At 45.6% G+C, this 25,848-nt stretch overlaps 1 annotated feature.

Moving 5' to 3' along the window:
- Positions 16,147-17,346: an enhancer, noted in NCBI's record as "MED14-independent group 3 enhancer chr9:107832754-107833953 (GRCh37/hg19 assembly coordinates)". NCBI's record gives its function as "activates an origin of replication core promoter dependent on BRD2, BRD4, P300/CBP and CDK7 cofactors, and independent of MED14, by STARR-seq in HCT116 cells {active_cell/tissue: HCT116}" and the evidence as "EXISTENCE:reporter gene assay evidence [ECO:0000049][PMID:35650434]".

Here is a 25,848-nt window from a genome sequence, read left to right on the forward strand (position 1 = left end):
TGGTTTTGGAGGGCCTTTTGTTTGTCTTTGTCTAGTTATGTATGTTATGTTTATGAAAAGGATTTCAGAAGGAATTTCTAGCAGGTGACCTAACTCAGGTGACCATCCACTTCCCCATTTTGCCCAGAGACCACCACAGCAAGATCTACTCATTTCTCCCGATTTTGAGTAGAGCAAGGGCTCTGGAGGCCAACAGACGCAAGTTTGAATCTTGCCGGGTCAAACTTAGGCACTGAGTGATGTGACTAGTGTCTGTGTTTTGTTGATTGTACATTGCCTTGGCTGGAATGGGAAACATTGATTTCAACATGTTAATTCCAAGCAGTCCATTGGGCTGCATCCTGCCGAGTTGGGAAGACAAGATACATCCTCATCAGGTCAGTGCAATGGGTAACTTTCCCATTAAAGGCAGGAGTCCTGTGAAAAACTATGGGAAAGGTCAAAGGCATGCCAGGTTTTCTAGAACTCCAGCTGGTTACATATTATGACTCATTCTTGTGCACATTTTTAAACTGATGAGCAAATAACAGCAAGGAAAATTCAGAGCTCACAACTGAGTTAAATGGAGTTAGTTAAAATGTACATTAAATATAGAGTCTTTTAAAGCTATCTTTTCTTTTCTGACTGCTTTGAATCTGTTGTTATTAAGCTACTGGTATTGAGATGAGACTCACTGTTTATGGTATTACTAATTCAAAACTACTTGGAGATTTTGTTTTTCTTATACAATTCAGCCAGTGCTACCTAAAATGTAAACATTGAAAACTCATTTAAAACTGAAAAAAAGGGGGGATCACCTGAAGTCGGGAGTTCGAGACCAGCCTGGCCAACATGGTGAAACCCTGTCTCTACTAAAAATACAAAAAATTAGCCAGGCGTGGTGGCCCACATCTGTAATCCCAGCTACTGGGGAGGCTGAGGCACGAGAATCACTTGAACCAAGGAGGCGGAGATTGCAGTGAGCCAAGATCGTGCCACGGCACTCCAGCCTAGGTGACAGAGTGAGACTCTGTCTCAAAAAAAAAAAAAAGAATTTTCTACAAGATTAAGCTGGGTATAATGAAAAGAAAATTATTTATAATAGCCTTTATAATTTTGGTCCCCTGGCCAGGCACAGTGGCTGACGCCTGTAATCCTAGCACTTTGGGAGGCTAAGACAGATGGATCACTCAAGGCCAGCAGTTCGAAATGAACCTGGCCAACACGGTGAACCCTGTCTCTACTAAAAATACAAAAATATTAGCTGGTTGTCGTGGCATGTGCCTGTAGGTCCAGCTCCTTGGGAGGCTGAGGCACGAGAATTGCTTGAACCCAGAAGGTGGAGGTTGCAGTGAGCCGAGATCATGCCACTGCACTCCAGCCTGTGCGACATAGCAAGACTCCGTCTCACTAAATATATATATATATATATATATATATATATATATATATATATATATATAGATAGATAGATAGTTTGATATCCTATATTAAAACAAGTTTTTCTTAAGGCATTGCTTTGCTCTTAATAAAATTTCGAAGGTTTTAATTTTTAATTCTATAACCTGTTTCTTTTTGAAAACTTCTCAGATTTCTATCTCACGATTTCAACTTCTGCTGAGGCTCACCGCTTTCAGCTTTTTCTCCCTTTGAGAAGGCATGAGATGATAACTCTCTCCTTCAACTTCTTTGTGAGCTCCAAAAACTTTTTTTCTCTGGTTCTAATTGCTGTTGTAACCTGATGCTAAAATGTTTATCTTGAAAGTCTAGAAAAGCAATGTCTTCCTCCAGTGTAACTTGATTCTCTACTCTTGGCTGTCCTTGATATGTCTGAATTGTTCCATGTAACCAGGAAACTTATCATGCTGTTACTAAGAGTCATGGAGATATTATATGATAAGTGCATAATATAATGTTCACTCATGACCCTGAACACACTCTTTCTATGTCTAAACAATTCTAACGCCCTCTTCATCAGGATTGACTTTCGGGTTATCTAAATGGGCCCCCATAAGGAGGAGCAATGACACTGCAGAAGGTTTTTCTTTGCCTGTTGGTGACTGGCCTAAGAAACAAAGATTTTACATTTTATTAAGATAATTCCTTTGTTGTCTTTATTAGGGTTTTGACAACTTCGGAAAACTGAGCTTAAGAAGAAAAGTTTTACATTCATGTAACTTTCTTTTCTTTTCTTTTCTTTTCTTTTTGAGACGCAGTCTTGCTCTGTTGCCCAGGCTGTAGTGCAATGGTGCAGTCTCGGCTCATTGCAACCTCAGCCTCCCAGGTTCAAGTGATTCTCCTGCCTCAGCCTCTCCTGTAGCTGGGATTACAGGCACGTGCCACCATGCCTGGCTAATTTTTGTATTTTTAGTAGCGACGGGGTTTCTCCATGTTGGCCAGGGTGATCTCAAACTCCTGACCTAGGTGATCCGCCCACCTCGGCCTCCCAAAGTGCTGGGATTACAGGTGTGAGCCACCGTGCCCAGCCAGCATCCATGTAACTTTCTATATTGCCTTCAAAGTCTTTGGTTAAGTGAATAACCATTATTTTACAATGACCTGTGATTCTGTTTTGACCAAACATTTAAAGCCATTTAATATATTTGATAAATGTTCTCAAAATCCAATTCTAAATGAAGTCTTATTGCTGGGGCTTATCAAAGCTATAAAACTAATCCCTAGCCGGGCACAGTGACTCATGCCTGTAATCCCAGCACTTCTGGGAGGTCGAGGCGGGCAGATCACGAGGTCAGGAGTTTGAGACGAGCCTGGCCAAGAGACCAGCCTGGCCGATATGGTGAAACCCCATCTCTACTAAAAATACAAAAATTAGCCGGGTGTGCTGGCATGCACCTGTAATCCCGGCTACTCAGGATGCTGAGGCAGGAGAATAGCTTGAACCCGGGAGGCAGAGGTTGCAGTGAGCCAAGATCGTGCCACTGCACTCCAGCCTGGGTGATGGAGAGAGACTCTGTCTCAATAAATAAACAAATAAACCCCACAAGGTTGTAGAATCTTTTTACAGCTTTCAGTCAAACTAAAGGCACTCCAGTGTCACCACCTTCAGCCTAATAATCACATATACTGGAAAAGACATCGGTTAAAGGCCTTTCTTTGGCCCCCTTGAAAGAGTCTTATCAGGTGCTGTTACCTAATCTTTGTGCTGAGTTATAGGGTTTTGACTCCTGGGTACACATATCTCATCTGAAAAAGGCACTGGACACCTACTAAATCTTGAACGTGGACACCAGTATCTGATACCAAACTTAAGTTAACCAAAGACTTGTCTTCAGACCCAGGAGAAGTTGACAGTCAAAATGAATCCTTTCTGAGACACAGGGCCGGAAATTAAAACTGTTCAATCCCTTTAGGCCCAGGGACTATCACAGAAAAGGTGGGCATGTGAGATTATAAGGGCTGGTTTTGAGGGATAAAATTAGTTCAGACCCTCCAAATCAAGGATGGGCACACAGATGCCTAAAGAGCTAATGGCTCAACATATGCAACTTATAGATAAGTCCGTTCTGTAACCTTACTTTTTGGCTTTTGGTTTTTCGTTCTTATATTGCTCAAAAGGTTTTTTGTTTTGTTTTGGTTTGGTTTTGGTTTTTTGGAGACGGAGTTTCACTCTTGTTGCTCAAGCTAGAGTGCAATGGCACCATCTCGGCTCACCAAAACCTCCACCTCCTGGGTTCAAGCGATTCTCCTGCCTCAGCCTCCCAAGTAGCTGGGATTATAGGCATGTGCCACCACACCCTGCTAATTTTGTATTTTAAGTAGAGACAGGGTTTCTCCTTGTTGGTCAGACTGGTCTCAAACTCCTGCTCTCAGGTGATCCGTCCCCCTCGGCCTCCCAAAGTGCTGGGATTACAGGCATGAGCCACTGCACCTGGCCAGTTCAAAAGGTTTTTAAGGATTAATTAGTGCCTTCCCACTTCCATGCCCATCTGGCCTAGAATGTTTAATTGGCTATAAGCCTTTGGCTCTCAGTCCCTCGGCCATAGGGGTCCCACCAATGGACTGGATGGACCTGGGGCAGGTAGCCCCAGCAATGATATAAAACAAAATAAAACTGTAGCCATAGATACTGTCTCTGGCAAATTTCGACCCAAAAGGAGGTAATATAAACTAAAACACAAAATCCTAAGCCCCACTCCCTGACTGAATGGAGCCCCTTGTGGCCAAGGGGACCCCCACATACACAAAACCCTTAAAACTGAGATCCTGACCGTGACAGGATGAGAGGTCAGACATTCCCCATTATACGCCTCCTTTTTGTGGTCTAGACACAACTGACCAACATTAATGTTAAAATGAAGATCATAAAACTGACAGAACAGACTCTTTGTGACAATAAGATCTCATGGATACCCCCAATGTTTTCAGTCTATTTTACAAGGACTTTTTTGAAATTTGGACTCACAATTTTGACAATAGCACTTATAATTTATTTTATAGTCTGGTTAGCAATTATTTATTTCATTTTGAAACGGAGTTTCGCTCTTTTTGCCCAGGCTACAGTGCAATGGCATGATCTCAGCTCACTGCAGCCTCCACCTTCCAGGTTCAAGCGATTCTCCAGCCTCAGCCTCCCAAGTAGCTGGGATTACAGGCGCCCATAACCATGCCTGGCTAGTTTTTATTTATTTGTTATTTGAGTATAGACAGGATTTTGCGATGTTGGCCAGGCTGTTTTCAAACTCCTGGCCTCAGGCAATCCACCTGCCTCAGCCTCTCAAAGTGCTGAGATTACAGGCATAAGCCACCATGCCTGGCCAGTCTGGTTAGCAATTAAATGTGCCCCATGCTAAGACAGTGGACAGGAGCACTAATATGTTCATGCTTCACCCCCAAAATCCCCAACCAGGCACTCATGAATACTTACAGGTTACTGCCAGGCAATTTCATTCCTCTAATCCTGACTATGGTCTGTGCCCCTTGCTAGCAGGAAGAAGCTAGAGTGATCTTCAGCTAATTCCCACCATATTAGTTCTCACCTCAGGACTGAGGTATGATCAAGCCCAGGGGGGACTAAACTGTCCTTATAAACTTTATAAAATTAATAACGTAAGAAGGGAGAGATGGGGAAATAAAAATAAACCAAGCTTGCAGCACATTCAACATTAATCATTAGGTAGCTTGCTCTCTGGCCCACTTCCACATTGTTGTTTGTGGCCTATTGTGTGTGAATCAAGTAAATCCAAGCAGTTCCTAAGATTATAATTTCCCTTAACTGCTCTGTCTACAGAGCAAGAAATTTTCAGTGTCTTGCTTTAAATAACTAAGCTACATTAACTACATAAGTACTTAAATGTAAAATTAAAATATGAGGAAAGAAATAAGTATAGCAACTATAACAAGGAAAGATGTTATACTTACTTCTTTCCGCAAGGAAAGGAGTATAACAACTAAAACAAGTTCAACATTATGAAACATTAAATTTTCCCTTTGAGATACCCTTTCAGGTCCTGGATACCAGTGGAACTACTAGTATCAGCTGATCTGAAGGATCTCATGGGAAGCTGATTTATCAAAGAATGCAGTTTCTTTTTCTTTCTTTCTTTCTTTTTTTTTTTTTTTTCTTTTTGGGATGGAGTTTCGCTCTGTTGCCCAGGCTGGAGTGCAGTGGCATGATCTCGGCTCACTGCAACCTCTGCCTCCCGGATTCAAGCAATTCTCCTGCCTCAGCCTCCTGAGTAGCTGGGATTACAGACATGCAGCACCATGCCCAGTTAATTTTTTATATTTTTGGTAGAGACAAGGTTTCACCATGTTGGCCAGGCTGGTCTTGAACTCCTGACCTCAAGTGATCCATCTGCCTCAGCCTCCCAAAGTGCTGGGATTACAGGTGTGAGCCACCACGCCAGACTAAAGAGTGCAGTTTTTACATCGTAATGAATTCATCCCCCTTGCCCTGACCAATCGATTACCCCAATTTCTTTTTTTCTTTTTTTCTTTTTTTTTTTGAGATGGAGTCTCACTCTCTTTCCCGGGCTGGAGTGCAGTGGCGCAGTCTCAGCTTACTGCAACCTCTGCCTCCTGGGTTCAGAGGTTTCTCCTGCCTCAGCCTCTGGAGCAGCTGGGATTACAGGTGTGTGCCACCACACTTAGCTAGTTTTTGTATTTTTAGTGGAGACAGGGTTTCACCATGTTGGCCAGGCTGGTCTTGAACTCCTGACCTCAAGTGATCTGCCCACCTTGGCCTCCCAAAGTGCTGAGATTACAGGCGTAAGCCACCATGCCCAGTCTATTTTTAACCTGCTTACCCTCCATGACCCTCAAAAACCCCAGCCCAGAATTCCTTGGGGATGTAGATTTGAGGGTCTCCTCCCATCCTTCCCTCAGAGCTCTGCAATCATTGAGCTCTTTCTGTGCTGCAAACCCTGCTGTCTCAGTGTAATTGGTCTGTTACTGCACAGTGGGCGTACGAACCTGTTGTTCTTATAACACTTCCACAAACTTCCCCTCTCCACAGGCACAAACACATAAACCCACTCCTATAATGATTCGTGAATATTTCAGGCTTTACTGAAGATTGAGAGATCTAGGGGAGAGGAGGTCAGAGTGGTTTGCCTCACTTAAAACAAACGAGCTTGACACTAAACATGCGGCCTATCTATTCAAAATGTCTTCTGGCTAACCCACCCCAGAGGAGTCTCCACTGGCCCTTCATTCCACAGGGTCCTTTACACTATCACCCCAGCTTCTCCTATGCCTCGCATCTTTCTCTTCTTGTCTCACTCAGAGCAGTTTGCTCAGCATCTTTTGCTGCTTTGTTTCCTGCTCTCTGAACCTCACATTCAACCCAGGCAGATTCTCTAGGTATTTCTACCAAAGTATCTTCCAGTAGCAAACTCACGGTGCCAGCTGTTTGATCCATTTTTGTTTTTACTTCATTACACCTGAGACGAGGGAATCCCAGTATTAGTTCCACCACAGGGATAAACAGAGGGCCCTGAAGAGGGACCCCTAAGCCAGTCTTGGAGTGGGTATCAAGTGAAAGGTTTTCCAGAGGAAGAGACATCTGAAGTAGGAACAGGAGTTACCCAGGACAAGAAGGGAGATGGCACAACCCACTGAGACTGGAAAATTTAGCACTGATAGAGTAGAACATACACATAAGGAGTAAAGCTATAGAGTAATGGGGCACACTGGGCGCGGTGGCACACGCCTGTAATCCCAGCACTTTGGGAGGCTGAGGCAGATCACCTGAGGTCAGGAGTGCAAGACAAGCCGGACCAACATGGTGAAACCACATCTCTACTAAATACAAAAAATTAGTCAGGTGTGATGGCACATGCCTGTAATCCCAGCTACTTGGGAGGATGAGGCAGGAGAATCGCTTGAACCCCGGGGGCGGAGATCGTGCCACTGCACTCCAGCCTTGGCGATAAGAGCAAAACTGCATCTAAAAAAAAATAATAACAGGGCAGCCCACAAGTAGAGTGCATCAGCTAAGGGACTGTCACTGCATTTAGAAAGCAATGCATAGATGGTAAAGGATTTTGAAGCATAATACAAGCAGATTTGCACTTTTTTCCTTTCTTTTCTTTTTTCTTTTTTTTTTTTTTTGGTAGTGGGGATGGAGTCTCACTCTGTTGCCCAGGCAGGGGTGCAGTGGCACAATCTTGGCTCACAGCAGCCTCCACCTCCCAGATTCAAGCAATTCTCCTGCCTCAGCCTCCTGGGTGACTGGGATTACAGGGGTGCACCACTACTGTCCACTGATTTTGTATTTTTATTATAGAGAGGGTTTCACCACGTTGGCCAGACTGGTCTCGAACTCCTGACCTCAAGTGACCCATCCGCCTCAGCCTCCCAAAGTGCTGAGATTACAGGTGTGAGCCATCATGTCCAGCCTACACTTTTTTCTTTCTAAAAATCACTGCAAGAATTCCCTTGAGGTTGCAGGAGGGGAGAGATCCCGGAGGCAGAGTGCGGTGGACTGGGGAAGGGGGTTGCAGCTCTAGAGTGCAGGCTGGAGATGTAGAGGAGGGGAAAAATTAGGGAGCTATATCAGAGGTAGACTGGAAACCACCTAGTGATTCATTGGAAGGGGTGCGGTGGTGAGCCAAGAGGATACCGGATCATGGTGAGGATTCAAGGGTCAAGATTGCAGCAGGTTTCACTGGTAGATGGTGTGGCCTTCTGCTGGGAGGTGGGGCATTTGGACACAGCTGATGAATTGATTCCCTCTAGTCCTCCCCTGATGGGCTCCTAACCTTCAGGGTATTTGCTTCTCGCTATCCTTGTCAGCTGCAGTGGGGGACCACAACTCCTTGAGTTCTGCCCAGCTGCAGCTGGACAATTTTTGAACACTTCTGCTCCTGGCTGATGCCTGGTGGCTTGCGGCCTCCCACAGAGAGAACAGATTGAAGCAGCTGGCACTGCAGCCAGAGATGGATGCAGTTGAGCAGAGAGAAGAGGACACAGAAGGCACCGTGAGGAACTCAGAGCTGCTCAATGGTTATGTGACCCTAGGCAATTCAGTTACCTTCTCTGAGTCTTAGATTCTCTATCTACACTTTAATGATGGGGGAGAATACTTACTTCAGACACGTGTTTTAAAGATTTCACATAAAGCGGCGGGGTGCGGCAGCTCACGCCTGTAATCCCAGCACTTTTGGAGGCTGAGGGGGGTGGATCACGAGGTCAAGAGATGGAGACCATCCTGGCCAACATGGTGAAACCCCGTCTCTACTAAAAATACAAAAATTAGCTGGGCGTGGTGGCGCACCCCTGTAGTCCCAGCTACTCGGGAGGCTAAAGCAGGAGAATCGCTTGAACCCGGGAGGCGGAGGTTGCAGTGAGCTGAGATCGTGCCACTGCACTCCAGCCTGGCGACAGAGTGAGACTCCATCTCAAAAAAAAAAAGGCCGGGCACGGTGGCTCACGCCTGTAATCCCAGCACTTTGGGAGGCCAAGACGGGCGGATCAGGAGGTCAGGAGATCGAGACCACCCTGGCTAACATGGTGAAACCCCATCTCTACTAAAAATACAAAAAATTAGCCGGGCGTGGTGGCGGGCGCCTGTAGTCCCAGCTACTTGGGAGGCTGAGGCAGGAGAATGGGGTGAACCTGGGAGGCGGAGCTTGCAGTGATCCGAGATCGCTCCACTGCACTCCAGCCTGGGCGACAGAGCGAGACTCCATCTCAAAAAAAAAAAAAAAAAAAAAGATTTCCCATAAAGCATGTGGAAGTGATTCCTGAACTGTAAAATTCTTTAAGGGAAGTGAAAGGAACAAATATTTTTGGCTAGATGAACTGAGATTCTCCATCTTACCCCCAGCTCCTCTCAGGGAAGACCTGGGGATCATAGAGCTGATATATAGAAAAGTTTAGTCCATCTTGATGGACTCAGAGTACCTTCGAAGTGAAAATAGGATCTGAGAATAGGAGCATGTACTATTAGCACAATAATGTCAAGGTTAATATTTCACAACATGGAGAGGCAAAGTCATTTTAATTGGAGGAATTTCATGTTACACTGGACTGTGTGATCCTCGTAAGAAAATAATTCTTGTACAGACATTTGCCTAAGACTAATCAGGAAAAAAGAGAGCTTAGTCATTACTGCCAGACAGAAACCAAACTGAAGTCTGGTTTTTACCTTCCCCCATTCCCTTCATAAACAAAGAGGCCCAGGGGAAGAATCGCATGAGATGAACACCTCATTCAGACAGTGCGTGATGAGGTGAGGAGTCAAGGCCACATCTATGTGTGTATGGAGCCCAAGCCCTTCCTGCCACACCAGCAGGCGAGAGCCCCCGCATCTCAGCCCTTTCAGCCTCAGCTGCCTCTGGTTCCCTTCCCCCACCAAACTTCCTCCCTCCTCCAGACACACACAAGCTGCCACCATCACCATCACCATCACCACACACAGCACCCAAGTGCCAACCCGATAGCTGAATTGGCCTTCCCTCCAGAAACGTGACAATACTGAACACCTTCCCAGGCCCTGCCCGATGCTGGCTCAGGAGAGGGGAGATCCTACCCCTGCTGGAGGATCTCCCAGTGAAGTGAGGAGAGAGCCCTAGAGGCATGTAACACTGACCCCTCCCCAAAGACCCAGTAGCCCTACCTACTCCATTTTGGAAAGTACGTAACTGGGAAGAAGGAATGCACCCAGGAATTTCTAGGATGTCATGCCTGAGGAGCCCTGTGGGAGAGGGGTTATGCCAGAAGCATAGTGGGGAAGGGAGCAAAAAGAGGCTCCCTTTTTCCCTGATTAGCGCCACTCCATTAGGAGCCTCGAGCTGCTCTTCCCCCTGCCTGGCTGACTGCTGTCTTGGGTGTGTCTGGGAATCAGCCACTGGAGACAGTGAGTGTGGTTGGGGGAAGGCCGGAGAGTGACTGCTGGTAACCCCAGCTGCACATGATGGTGGCCAGCTGCCAGCTGGCTCCTCCCAAAGCCTCCCAGCTGGCAACGGCTTTGAAGTCAGACAAGCCACGGCTCCTAGGCTGTCCCGAGGGGATGTAAGTCCAGGACCTACACACAAAGCACCTATCCAATGACAAGCTAAGTCCAGGCAGGTCCTCCTAAAGGCCCCTGGCTCTCAGACCAGCTGATGCAACTAGATTAGAAAAAACAGAACATGCAAAGCTTACTCACTGCCGGCTGAAACAGTCGGAAGGACAGTTCACAAAGCCATTTCCCATCCATTATATCATTTCATCTGCCCAAAAACCCAGAGGAGAGTCCTGCCGACCCCAGCCATGGGCACGCTGCTCAGCCTCTCTGTGCCTTAGTTACTGTCCTTGTGAAATGGGCAACAATAAGAACACCTCTTCTGCTTTCTAGCTGTTTGTCAATTTCTAGTCACGTGTCTTGGGCAATGCATTTAACTTAATTGTGCTTCAATTTTCTCACATGTCAATGAGGTTAAAAATAGAACCAACCTCATGGGATAGCTGGGAAAATTAAATAAGTTAATACACCTAGAGCACTCAAAACAATGGCTGGATGCATACAAAGTGCTCCATAAATGCTAGCAACTATTATTATTTCTGTGGTTATTATTAATCAGGGGATTGTTAGGAGGATCAACAAAACATTAACAGCTGCCATATAGTGCACATTGACCGTGTTTCTGGCACTGGGTTCAGTCTTTTATGGGAATTACCTTGTACATAATGTTTAGTACACGCTGACTGCAGCACCTAATTCATAGAGAGCCCTTAACAAACAGTAGCCACTATCCTTATCTCCCTCATTCCACAGAGGGGCAAACAACTCAGAGGCTTAATGATTTACCCAAGTCCACAAAGCTAATAAGTAAGGAGAACTTAGACTTGAATCCAGGTCTTCTGAGAAACAGGCTTCCATGATCCTTCAATTCTCACCTTCTTCTTGTCCCACCTTCCCCAGCCTGGCACTCAGCATTTGCTCCACAGCTAAAGCTGGCTTCCCTTCATGAGACACATCTGCTGCTCAGTCGCAAGGTGCCCAGCCTTCTCCGCACAGGTGTTAAGAGCTCCTGCAGGCCGGGCATGGTGGCTTATGCTTTAATCCCAGCACTTTGGGAGGAGATGGACGGATCACCTGAGGTCAGAAGTTCGAGACCAGCCTGGCCAACATGGCGAAACCTGTTCTCTACTAAAAATACAAATAATAGCTGGGCATGGTGGCAGGCACCTGTAATCCCAGCTACTCGGGAGACTGAGGCAGGAGAATTGCTTGAACCCGGGAGGCGGAGGTTGCAGTGAGCCGAGATCGCGCCATTGCACTCCAGCCTGGGCGACAGCGTGAGACACCATCTTAAAAAAAAAAAAAAAAAGGAGCTCCTGCAATGGGAAGGACCACACTTGCCTCCAAATGGCGTTTCTCCTTTAGGAGCCAGGAACCAGGCTCCAGCAGGCACAGAGGGGTGCAAGGCAATGAGACAGGGTCATAGATGTTCCCAGGGAGCAGACCCAACCCCAGTTCCAGCTCTGCCTTCTTTAGGAATAACACGGAATCACAGATGCTCCTGGGGCTCATGACTGGCTCCAACTCCAGTTCTGCCCTTCTATCTAAATGTCCCTCTGCTGCAATTCTGTGGTGGAGCCTTCCCAGAAAACAACTCCAAATCCTCCCTTAGTTGAGCAAAGTGAGTCCACAACCAGCAGCAGCCAGCTGAGGGGTGAAAGATGTTTCCCTGCACGTTACATATCAAAGGCAATGTTTTGCTTAAGACATGACTGCTGGACTGTGGGCAAGTTACTTCCCGTCTCTGGGCCACAGTTTCCTCACGTGAAATGTTGAAAAAATAAGACTCATCCAGCAGGGCTGCTCTAAGGGCCAAATGAGAGAATGGATGTCAGAGCACAGGACCTGGCACCAGAAACACAAACAGGAGGAGTCAGCACACTGTACGGACTCCACAAATGCTCACTGACCAGATGGAACTTGACAGCCCAATATGCCAAGGTGGCTCACGGTAAAGTGAGCAAGAACACCTTAAGGGAGAGTACAAGGATGTGAGACCAAGATCCTCACTGAAGAATAAAAGCCTGTGTCCACCACAGGGGGCTCCAGCCTGGAGAAGGACACTCTCCCAGAAACTCTGCAAAACCCCACTTACCATAGAAGATGGAGAAGCCGTGTGGCAGAGGCACAAGATAGCAGCCATGGGGAGATGTGACCAGTTAGGTGACAAGGAAGCAATGGAGCTGCCTTTGCATTTGAAGCTCAAGATTCATATGAGCTGGTCCTTGCCAAGAAACAGGTGCACACTGAGGAGGACCAGAGTGGTGGTATGCTAGAGCTGTCATGGATCATGGCCCACAAGAGCCAATTGCTACTTTTTCAGAATGTTTGCAAACCAGTTACTAAATGTGGCCATGGAAGGCTGGGCGCGGTGGCTCACGCCTGTAATCCCAACACTTTGGGAGGCCAAGGCGGGTGGATCACCTGAGGTCAGGAGTTCGAGACCAGCCTGGCCAACGTGCCAAAACCCCGTCTCTACTAAAAATGCAAAAATTAGCCAGGCGTGGTGGTATGTGCCTGTAGTCCCAGCGACTCAGGAGGCTGAGGCAGGAGAATTGCTTGAACCTGGGAGGCGGAGGTTGCAGTGAGCTGAGATCACACCACTGTACTCCAGCCTGGGTGACAGAGCGAGACCCTGTCTCAAAAAAACCAAAAATATGAATAAATAAATAAATGTGACCATGATTAAAATTATATAAACTTAAGTGAATATTAAAATCAATGATAATAAACACTCAAAACTCATCACTTCCTAATTATTATACTGTATTTTACTACCATCTATGCTCTTAAAGTGATTTATATCTATTATATCTCTGTGATAGAAATGCTCGGCCGGGCATGGTGGCTCACGCCTGTAATCCCAGCACTTTGGGAGGCTGAGGCAGATGGATCACGAGGTCAGGAGTTTGAGACCAGCCTGGCCAACATAGTGAAACCCCGTCTTTACTAAAAATACAAAAAAAAATTAGCTGGGTGTGGTGGCACGTGCCTGTAGTCCCACCTACTCAGGAGGCTGAGGTGGGAGAATTTCTTGAACCTGGGAGGCAGAGGTTGCAGTGAGCCAAGACCACGCCACTGCAGTCCAGCCTAGGTTAACAGAGTGAGACTCCATCTCAAAAAAAAAAAAAAAAAAGAAAAGGGAAATGCTCAGTCCTATTACATTTTTTAAACCTGAATCAGCCATAGAGTATTTACACCACAGGAATGGGCAAACCTACAAATCATGATCCCTTCCCTGCCCTACAGAGCCAGTTGTTAAACATTTATCAGCTCACCACTAATGAAGAGGCTCTCCACTGCTCCAGTGCCTCCAAGGAAATGGGCTTTTATGAGACTTTGAGTCGTGCTGTCTTGCATGCTTAGGTTGTGTTTTCTCTGTTAATTAAATTTCTGGCCACAGCTTCATATTAAGAGCCCTTACAAGGCATTTCATGAGGTCTAATGATCTCAGGAGTGTGGAAAGGCACATTTCTGCAATGAGTCTAACAATATGGAGGGCTACATGAAGCATGCTGCCCTTCACAAAGGGCAGGGAAGTTACACAAGAGGAGACCAATATAAACTTAAAGCCTTTTCTTGTCTTCCCCAACCTTCAGAACATTCCTGTAGTGTTCAGTTCAACTAACAGTTATTTCATACTCACCACAGCCAAGGCACTGGGCCAGGAGGAGGAGAAGGAAGACGCATAGTCTATTCTCAGGAAGCTTAAAGCGTGGTGAGGTGAACAGTCTCTCACCATCACATTGAGACCTACACTGAACTCCCTATTTTAAATTATAATTCCCCTCAGCACTCCTAATCCTCCCCCCTTTTTTTCTTTTTTTTTTTGGAGACAGAGTTTCGCTCTTGTGGTCCAGGCTGGAGTGCAATGGCGTGATCTCAGCTCACTGCAACTTCTGCTTCCAGGGTTCAAGCGATTCTCCTGCCTCAACCTCCTGAGTAGCTGGGATTACAGGTATGCAACACCACCTCCAGCTAATTTTTGTATTATTAGTAGAGATGGGGTTTCACCATGTTGGCCAGGCTGGTCTCGAACTCCTGACCTCAGGTGATCAGCCCGCCTTGGCCTCAAAGTGTTGAAATTACAAGTGTGAGCCACCGTGCCCAGCCAAAAACAGGCTGTTTGGGGACAAGGTATATCTCTCTCTTTTTTTTTTTTTTTTTTGAGATGGAGTCTCACTCTGTTGCCCAGGCTTGAGTGTAGTGGTGCCATCTCAGCTCACTGCAACCTCTGTCTTCCGGGTTCAAGCAATTCTCCTGCTTCAGCCTCCCAAGTAGCTGGGATTACAGACGTGCACCACCACATCTGGCTAATTTTTGTATTTTTAGTAGAGATGGGGTTTCATCATGTTGGCCAGGCTGGTTTCGAACTCCTGGCCTCAAGTGATCCACCGGCTTTGGCCTCCCCAAGTGCTGGGATTACAGGTGCGAGCCACTGCACCCAGCCCTAATTCCCCCATTCTTATTTTCTCCATAACACTTGTCACCTTCTAACATATTATATAATTTGTTTTTTTTAGTGATTTTTTTTTTTTTTTTTTTACTGTTGTTATTTCCTCGCTAGAATATTAGGTCCACAAGGACAAGGATTTTGGTGTGGTTTGTTCCCGTGCCTGGAATAGTTCTGGCCCAGAGTAGGCTATCCATCAATTTTTTATATACTTACATGTAACATACTAGAAAAAAACACTAAATTAAATCCTAATTCCTGCTCTACCACTTACTGTGTGACCCTGGGTAGGTTACTCTACCTCTCTGATCCTCCCTTTCTCATACGGTAAACTACACATTTGGACAAGGCTACAAACCAGACAATGAAAAACTCAAAATTCAATGTGTCTACTAGATATGGCAATCACGGCATGTCTGCCACATGCATGGCCACGTCTACTCTACAGGAAACTATCTTCTGCAGCCCCTAGCTCCAGGCAGCCATGCTCTGAACTCCACCATGCAGCCATCTGGCTTTCTCCAAACCCCCAACTCCTCCCTTCACCTCTATGTGATTGAAAACTATGTGAACACTTGACCCCAGGGCAGACAGAGGCTTACTGTGTAGCCCAGGGAAAGACCTGCCCTAATAAGGAAGCCTAGACCAACCCAATATTACTCTTAGAAATGTAAATTGGGAAATACAGATAAAATCAGGCACTTTACAGAGGCTTAGGATGCAAGTTTGAGACAGGCTGGAGAGGCCACGATTAGCAATTAAGTGAACCAAGCTAGAAGTCAGCAAATAGCATGAGGTAGAGAAAAGACAGAGAAAATCAAGAGTTTAGCAAGAAGAGAAGTGGGCAGAAACAGAGAAAGAGACCTAAAGGACTTGGGTAACATTTCTTGGGGAGCACTTCAGGGAAAATCCTTAAAGTCTGTTGCAGAGATCCTGGTGCTGGTCTACCCTCCACCTCCAGTACCATGCAGTTTGGTCCTATTTTGCCTTCCCCTCTCAGATTTCCACGAGACTGCCTCCCTTTTGCCCACAGACCTTTCTTGAGTGAGTCTCTATCCCTTGGAATGAAAAGAACCCAATTCAGAGATAGAGGGTAAGGCCCACAGGCTATGTTTGATTGACTTATCTGTCCTAGGAACTCCTGCCAATGTCTTGTGTGATTGTTCATCCTCTTGTTCAGAGTTGCAACAACGCTGTTTCACACAGCGTCCTTGCAAGATCTGTACAAGGAATAGGATGGTTTGGAATGGAATAGGAGGAACAAGAACAAATGCTAAGTCCCACTCCTGCCAAGGTACGCCACATAATCTTTGCTGCAACCCTATAAGATAGGTATTATGTCCATCTTGAAGGGATAATTTTTTTTTTTTTTTTTTTTTTTTTGAGACGGAGTTACGCTCTGTTGCCAGGCTGGAGTGCAATGGCATGATCTTGGCTCACCGCAACCTCTGCCTCCCGGGTTCAAGCGATTCACCTGCCTCAGCCTCCCGAGTAGCTGGGATTACAGATGCCTGCCGCCATGCCTGGCTAACTTTTTGTACTTTTAGTAGAGACAGGGTTTCACCGTCTTGGCCAGTCTGGTCTTGAACTCCTGACCTTGTAATCCATCCGCCTCGGCCTCCCAAAGTGCTGGGATTAAGGCATGAGCCACAGCGCCCGGCCTAGATAAAATTTCTTGTATTTCTTGGTTTTTTGTTTGTTTGTTTTTGTCCTACTGGGAACCCTGAGATTCCACTGCAATTCTCTTCTTGAAGTCCCAGTTTTGATCCCAAGCTCCAATATGGAATTGAAAATACGAGGAACACCTCAACAATATTCTTCCTTTTTCTCTAGGGGCCCAGGAGAGACTAAAAGCTATGAAGGAATTTGATGTGGGGAACCCCAACAGAGCCAAGAAGGTACCCAGAGACTTTAGAAACTATAGGGACTTACTTCTCAGGACCCCTTTGAAACCTAGACCTAAGAGGATGATTTGATGCTGAGACAGCATGACATGCAGAGTGACTCAATCCAACAGAATGCTAAGTCTCAGTGAGCTGTCACCCCATTCTGCACCAGATGAATAACTCTGCAACACTCAGATGATTGTGACCTCCTCCTGCCGTGCCTGCCCACATGTCACCAGTAGAAGCAAGAATGAACATTTGTGAAAAAATTAGTCTGCATTGTCAATTGTCATCCTGGAGAGAAAATGACTTGATCTTCAGTGATAACAGGAATATTACCATCTTTCAGCCCCATCTCATTTTTCTTCACTTACTCAGAGTCTTACTCAGCGACCTAATACTGAGTCTACTGATGTCTTCACCTGCAAGAGCAACCTCCTTCCCAAATCAGTTCCCACTCCTAACAGGAGCAGAGGCAATATCAGTAGCCCTTTTTTATTTTTTTTCCTGAGACAGAGTCTTGCTCTGTCGCCCAGGCTGGAGTGCAGTGGCACAATCTCGGTTTACTGCAACCTCTGCCTCCTGGGTTTGAGCGATTCCCCTGCCTCAGCCTCCTGAGTAACTGGGATTACAGGCACCTGCCACCATGCCCGGCTGATTTTTTGTAGTTTTAGTAGAGATGGGGTTTCACCGTGTTGGTCAGGCTGGTCAATTCCTGACCTCGTGATCCACCCACCTCCCAAAGTGCTGGGATTACAGGCATGAGCCACTGTGCCCAGCCGCCTTTTTTGTTCTCTTCCTTGATCTTAGGAGTTTAGGAAATGATCACACTCCCAGATCCAAGATCTGGTGTTCTACCCTCAAAGCCAATGGACTCACAAGATCCCACCAAGCAGATCTAAATGATCTAGGACTAATAATGCAGGCTCTGAAGTTAGAGAGACTTAGAGTCAAATCTGAACTCTGCCACTTAACCTTGCACAAGGCCAGTGTCTCAATTAGGTTAGGATAGTCAACAATGCTAAATAAGAAAATTCATTTCTCGGCTGGGCACGGTGGTTCACACCTGTAATCCCAGCACTTTGCGAGGCCGAGGCAGGCGGATCACGAGGTCAGGAGTTCAAGACCAGCCTGGTCAACATGGTAAAACCCTGTCTCTGCTAAAATACAAAAATTAGCTGGGCGTGATGGCACACGCCTGTAATCCCAGCTACTCGGGAGGCTGAGGCAGGAGAATTGCTTGAACTCAGGAGGCAGAGGCTGCAGTGAGACCAGATGGCACCACTGCACTCCAGCCTAGGCGACAGAGCAAGACTCCATCTCAAAAAAAGAAAATTAATTTCTCATCACAATATACGTCCAACATAGGTTAGTGGAAGGCAGTGCTCCATATTATTACTCAAGAACCCAGGCTGAGAAAGGTTCCATCTTATAATGTCACCATCACAACACATGGTGTTCAGGGATACTAAGACAGGGGAAAGATGAGGGATGGGCCAAGTTTGAGGTTTTAACCATCTCATCCCAGAAATGATACAATGGCATTCCAGTTTTGGTCCATTGGCTAGAACTAGTCATGTAGCCCTGCCAACCTGCAAGGGCCTAAGAATCATCACCTTCCTTATTACCAGAAAGTGGAGGAGAACTGGATATGAGTAAATAATTTTACTGCAGCCCAGCACACAGAGTGTGATACTACTGTGTAGTTACTTTCTTCCTTCAAGTTTCCTGTAGGTCCAATAGACCAAGGATTCATTAAGCTAAGGAAGGGCCCTGTTGTTTGTATAACCACCCATCAGAAGACTCTATCCCCCATGTCACCCTCAACCTCAATGCCACTCCACAATGAACAGGCTCAGTTCACCAGCATGGGCTTATGACCTAGGCTTTTCTTCCTAGCCAGTCTTGCCCTATTGTCCTGCTTGATTTTTTGGCCTGCCCCTCTAAGCTTGAGCCTTATCCTAATAAGAAACTTTGTAGGACTGGAAGCTTCATATCTTGTTCAGCTCTTGCCAGTTCTCCTTATGAGCAGTCAATCAATGTTTTAGCAGTGGAGCCATCTTGGATCCTCAAACTTCTTGGAGGCCAAAGGGCTAAACAATTCCCAGTCACAGCGAATTTGCTGCCAAAGATACACTCACTCAGCCTTTCCAAGGAAGTGACTGGATATGTAAAAAAGGGTTATGTACAAAGATGTTTATTGAAACATTATTTGTAATAGCAAAATATTGGGAATAACCTAAATGTCCACCAAAGGAGAATGCTTATAAATATGAATCATCCACATGATGGATGTATAAGTTATGCCTGCCAAGTTCATCAGGGTAAACAGAAGAGACAAAATCAGATTATTTATTAGGATGGAGTTGATTTCCTAACACAGTGGGACCTGCTTTCATTTTGTTTGCCCTGCAGCTCTACTATCCCAGATTTTATTGATTCATTTCAGGGCCATTCTATAGGCAGCATCTCCACTGGGCAGCCAGGGCCCAGCTCATGTGTAGTTGGGTAGCCTTTGCTACTGCATTGGTCCCCAATCCAATCATCTGTGATTAGGGGAGCGGCTAGCTCTCCTCGAAAGTAGAGAAGGTTGTCCTGGCCTCTAATGAATTATCCTTTAGTCAGTCTAATTCAGTGAAATATTATGTACCCTTTAAAAATTGTATTTACCAGAAGTTTTTAATGACCTGGAAAAGTATGCAGGAAATATCGTTAGGTTTTTAAAATTTATAAAATTGAATCTATACTCTGACATATGTTATAACATAAATTAACCTTAAAAGACAGACGCGGTGGCTAACGCCTGTAATCCCAGCACTTTAGGAGGCCAAGGCGGGTGGATCACCTGAGGTCAGGAGTTCAAGACCAGAGTGGCCAACATGGCAAAACCCCATCTCTACTAACAATACAAAATTAGTGGGGCATGGTGGTGGGAACCTATAATCCCAGCTATTCCGTAAGCTGAGGCATGAGAATTGCTTGAACCCGGGGGGCAGAGGTTGCAGTGAGCTAAGATCGTGCCACTTCACACTAGCCTGGGCAAAAGAGCGAAACTCTATCTCAAAATAAATAAATAAATAAAAATAAATGAACCAAGTGAAATAAGCCAATCAAAAAAAGGGCAATATTGTATGATTCCACTTTCTTTTTTTTTTTTTTTTTTTTTTTTTGAGATGGAGTCTCACTCTGTAGCCCAAGCTGGAGTGCAGTGGCGTGATCTCGGCCTTCACTACAACCTTTATCTCTTGGGGCTCAAGCAATTCTCCTGCCTCGGCCTCCCAAGAAGTTGGGACTAGAGGCTTGCACAACCACACCCAGTTAATTTTATGTATTTTTAGTAGAGACGGGGTTTCACCATGTTGCTCTGGGTGGTCTGGAACTCCTGAGCTCAGGCAATCCACCCTCCTCAGCCTCCCAGAGTGGTGGGATTATAGGCGTGAGCCACCATGCCCAGCCATGATTCCACTTACATGAGGTCCCAGGAGTAGTAAAATCATAATGACAGAAAATAGAAGGGTGGTTGCCAGAGGCTGGAGGGAGAGGGAAATAGGGTTTAATGTTTAATGGGTATAGAGTTTCAGTTTTGCAAGATGAATAAAGTTCTGGAGACGAATGGATGGTGGTGATGGTTGCACAACAATGTGAATGTACTTAATACCACTGAACTGTACATTTAAAATGGCTAAAATGGTAAATTTTATGTTATGTGTATTTTACCACAATTTAAAGAATTGAATCTATAGTTTCATCACAAATGTGTGAGGTTTTCTTTTTAAACAAATGTTTGAGTATATGTGTGTGCATGTGTGTGTGTATAATTATGCCTAGTGTTCTGCCTTTGGTAATGAGAGGAAGATGCTACAGTTTCTTCCCTCATGCTCTTCCTTTAGCTAGTGCAAGGGTTGGCAAACTGTGGCCCTTCAGCCATGTCCAGCTTCTCATTTGTTTTCATAAATAAAGTTTTATTGAAACACAGTCATGCCCGTTCATTTATGGATTGTCTGCTTTTATCCAACAATGGCAGAGTCAAGCAGCTGCAATAGAGACAGTATAGTCCAGAAAGCCTGAAATAGTTATTATCTGATCCTTTATACAAAAAGCTAGGCTGGGCATGGTGGCTCACACCTGTAATCCCAGCACTTTGGCAGGCCGAAGCAGGTGGATCACCTAAGGTCAGGAGTTCGAGACCAGCCTGGCCAACATGGCGAAACCCCGTCTCTACTAAAAATATAAAAATTAGCCAGGTGTGGTGGCGCATGCCTGTGATCCCAGGTACTTGGGAGACTGAGGCAGGAGAATCACTTGAACCTGGGAGGTGGAGGTTGCAGTGAGCCGAGATTGCACCACAGCACTCCAGCCTGAGTGACAGAATGAGACTCTGTCTCAAAAAAAAAATAAATAAATAAAACAAAAGAAGTTTGCTGAAGCCGGGTGTGGTGGCTCATGCCTGGAACCTCAGCACTTTGGGAGGCCAAGGTGGGTGGATCATCTGAGGTCAGGAGTTTGAGACCAGCCTGGCCAACATGGTGAAACCCCGTCTCTATTAAAAATACAAAAAATTAGCTGGGCATGGTGGCACGCACCAGTAATCCTAGCTACTTGGGAAGCTGAGGCAGGAGAATTGCTTGAACCAGGGAGGCAGAGGTTGCAGTGAGCTGAGATTGTGCCACTACACTCCAGCCTGGGCGATAGAGCAAGACTCTGTCTCAGAAAAAAAAAAAAAAAGTTTGCTGATCTCAGCTTTAGTGCATTGAGAGCACACATGGAGACCAGAAGAATGATCAAAACTTTACTGTGAGTTCCAAGCCAGAGGCTATAGGCCTGGAGACTCTAGAGCTGGTGTCTCTCCTCTATATACTTGTTCTTCAACTTCTCAACAGGCGCAAAGCCTTCTATTTAGATGAGACACCCAATGGGGCTACCCCAGGCCCCAGAGGTGAGGAAGACAAAAGGAAAAAGAGGTTCTCATGGCGAGTGTGATTTGTTCTTTCTGGAGTTGCATTACCAAGAAAGACCTTCCTAAGGTACCTGAAACTTGGAATGTACCAGAAAGTGGGAAGAAGGAAGCATGTTGTCACATTGGCAAACTTAGATACGTTTTTTTAAATCTGGAAGGACATGTAAATTCATTGTAATATCTTTTTTTTTTTTTTTAATGGAGATGGAGTCTCGCTGTGTTGCCCAGGCTGGAGTGCAGTGGTGCGATCTCTGCAACCTCCACCTCCCGGGTTCAAGCAATTCTCTTACCTTAGCCTCCCAAGTATCTGGGACTACAGGATCACACTGCCACGCCTGTCTAATTTTTTTGTATTTTAGTAGAGAGGGAGTTTCACCATGTTGCCCAGGTTGGTCTCAAACTCCTGAGCTCAGACAATCCGCCTGCCTTGGCCTCTCAAAGTGCTAGGATTATAGGTGTGAGCCACTGCGCCCGGCCGATTGCAATATCTTTAAGTTGTGGGATTATGGATAATTTTTAAGTTCTTCTCTGTAATTTTTTATATTTATGATGTGTTATAATGACTATACATTGCTTTTCTAATCAAAAGGTAAAGTTATTTTAATATTCCAAAAAATTATTTAAAAATCCCAGGAGCACACCAGGTTGAAATCCAGTGAGAATCTCATGAGAAACATTTCAACAGGGTCAAAAATCTGGGTAATCCTTAGCTAATCTAAGTTTGTTTTCTTGACCTGAACTCTACTCAGAAAGAGCTGACATCTGACAAGCCCAATATTTTCCTGGCCTGCTCAGTCACGTGACCCATAAATTTCATTTGTCCAGGCACTCCCTGCTCTCCTGGGAATTCCTGTGCCTTCTACAACGTTAAAAGCAGCCTCTAAGCTGCTGTGTACCTATTTTTCCCCTCCATTTGGTCAAAGGTTCTCTTTTCCTTTCAAGATCAAGTTTCACTCTTGTTGTCCAGGCTGGAGTGCAGTGGCTCCATCTCCGCTCACTGCAACCTCCGCCTCACAGGTTCAAGGGATTCTGCTGCCTTAGGCTCCCGACAAGCTGGGATTATAGGCCTCTGCCACCATGCCTGGCTAATGTTTTGTATTTTTAGTAGAGATGGCATTTCATCATATTGGCCAGGCTGGTCTCGAACTCCTGACCTCAGTTGATTCACCCGCCACGGCCTCCCAAAGTGCTAGGATTATAGGCGTGAGCCACCGCACCTGGCCAAAGGTTATCCTTTCAAAGGCCATAGACATGGTTCTGCAGAGCAGTAGTCAGACCTGGATTAGGCTTTGCTCCCTACCTGAGCTAGGATTAGGTATGAAAGTTTTGTCTATTAAAGGGAGGTAATCCTATCTATGAGAGAAGAAGGGATTCTGTGCTATTCTGCTCACTTACCTCTTACTCTCCCAAGGGGACTAAAAGCTAATCTGAATTGTATACAGTGGCTGGGTCTTTCTGTTAGTGATAAGGACTCCAGGTTCTCCACTGACTATTCACAGAGAAAGTATGCAGACTTGGCCAGCCTTTTATGTTATTGTCATGATGTCTGTCCTTCATCCACAAGGAAATTTCTTGTAAGGGATGTATGTAACTTTTTTAAATCTTCGTAGCCATGTTTTTTAGAAATAGACTGGGATACAGGTTTGCCCTAAGCAGTTCCCAGCTTACTTTCCTCTTTGGCTCCCCACATTCAGCATTTCCCAAGATCCATTCCATACATGTTGCCCTGGTTCCAGTTAGCCAGCATCTACTGGCTAACTGTAGAAATAATGTATGTACATTATTTCTTCATGGAGTGAGTAGATTGGTGATTCTCTTCTCCTGCTCCTCTTCCCTGGAGCAAAAGTAGTCTGAGAAGCAGGCCTTTCCTGGATATGGAAGGAGGGCAGCCATCTTGCACTTATTCCTTGATTTCCTGCCAAGTAGCTGGTCAGAGTTGTGGCATCCTAAGATTTGTGTTTAAATTCAGGGAGAGGAGGCCAGGCACAGTGGCTCATGCCTGTAATCCCAGCACTTTGGGAGGCTGAGGCGGGCGGATCACGAGGTCAGGAGATTGAGACCATCCTGGCTAACACAGTGAAACACCATCTCTACTAAATATACAAAAAATTAGCGGGGCGTGGGGGCAGGCACCTGTAGTCCCAGCTACTTGGGAGGCTGAGGCAGAAGAATGGCATGAACCCGAGAGGCAGAGCTTGCAGTGAGCCGAGATGGTGCCACTACACTCCAGCCTGGGCGACAGAGCGAGACTCCATCTCAAAAAAAAAAAAATTTAGGGAGAGGAAAAAAGACTTCAAAGGCCTTGCCTTGCCTGTATCATGGGAATCTGTACTAGGTTTTTGGCATAAGCTTAGATATTTCCTTTATGTTATAGAATCAAGACATGCTTACAAAATTTCAGACAATGTCACCTTAATCTATTAACCCCCACCACTACTCCTTATAATACCTGACTTAACAGACGTACAGAGAAGACTAAATGAAACTTAATGGGAAACAGTAGCTAAGGAGTCAGGTACATAGTAGACTTAATATCAGGGAACTTTTTCTTTCTCTCCTCCTCTTCCTTCTTCTTCTTCCTGATCTTAGGGCCCTTCATCTAATAACTATAGAATTTATAACACTGAATTATAAACACCTAACTTACTAGATTATGAGTGCCTAAGAGGACCAAGCTGTATTTGTTTTATGTTTTGTTTTGTTTTGTTTTTTCGAGACAGAGTCTCGCTCTATAGCCCAGGCTGGAGGGCAGAGTCTCAATCTCAGCTCATTGCAACTTCTGCCTCCAAGGTTCAAGTGATTCTCCTGCTTCAGCCTCCCAAGTAGTCGGGATTACAGGCGCCCACCACCACGCCGGGCTGATTTTTGTATTTTAGTAGAGACGGGGTTTTACCATGTTGGCTGGGCTGATCTTGAACTCCTGACCTCATGATCCACCCTCCTCGGCCTCCCAAAGTGCTGGGATTACAGGAGTGAGCCACCTTGCCCGGCCCCCAAGCTATATTTTTCTTATTCACCATTTAGTTCTCAGAGCCAACTCCTGGTGTCCTTGCCAGCACATTAACCACTAAGTCTTGAGATAGTGCTCCCACATTAATAAATTTCACCCTGCACCCTTATATTCCACCTCCCCTGATTTAGCATTCCCCAAGATCCACTCCACACATGTTGCCCTGGTTCCAGTTAGCCAGCTCCTACAATTCGGTGGTATGTACATTATTTCCTTGTAGAGCACGAACTGTATTTTTTTTTTCCTCAGGCTTTGATGCAGCTTGTCCCTAATTATCAGACTTAAGGTAATGAGGGCAGGCAAGAGCAGATCTTAAGGAGTACAAGTATCATCCTGCAAGGAACCTGGCTATGGAGAGTTTTTAAAAGGGTTCCAGTCAAGGGGAGACTGCTTTCCCCTAACAAGAGTGAAGGAAGTGATAGGAATCTGGAGATGCAAGATTCTTAGGTTCATGCCCTCAAATGTTCCCATCCCAGGAGTTAGTTCCTGCTCCTTTTCTATTAGGGCCCTGAGTTTGCATGAACCTTGTGAGGCTTTACATTTTGTCTTCTTCATACCTTAGTCATTCTTAAATCCTGATTTACAGCATTGCCTGCCCTGAGGTTGCAGGAGTTGAGGTTCTCCTTAAAGCTACCATAAAGTCCTTTTGACTTTCACAACATACCTTGAATTAATTGTTGTTTGACCAGAATCTGTCATCTACTGACAGCGCGTTGGCTCACATCTGTAATCCCAGCACTCTGGGAGGCTGAGGCAGGTGGATCACTTGAGGACAGGAGTTCAAGACCAGCCTGGCCAACATGGTGAAACCCCGTCTCTACTAAAAATACAAAAATTAGCTGGGCATGGTGGTGCGCACCTGTAGTCCTAGCTATTTAGGAGGCTGAGGCAGGAGAATCATTTAAACCCAGAAGGCGGATGTTGCAGTGAGCCGAGATCACGCCACTGCACTCCAGCCTGGGCGACAGACCTAGACTCCATCTCAAAAAAAAAAAAAAAGGCATCTGTCATTTACCTTCATGGTTTCTAAAGAAGGTAATAAAAGTCAGCCAACTCTACAATTCTTATAAAGGAAAAAAAAATCCTATTACGCCT

Source organism: Homo sapiens, chromosome 9 (assembly GCF_000001405.40).
Source record: "Homo sapiens chromosome 9, GRCh38.p14 Primary Assembly".
NCBI lineage: Eukaryota > Metazoa > Chordata > Mammalia > Primates > Hominidae > Homo > Homo sapiens.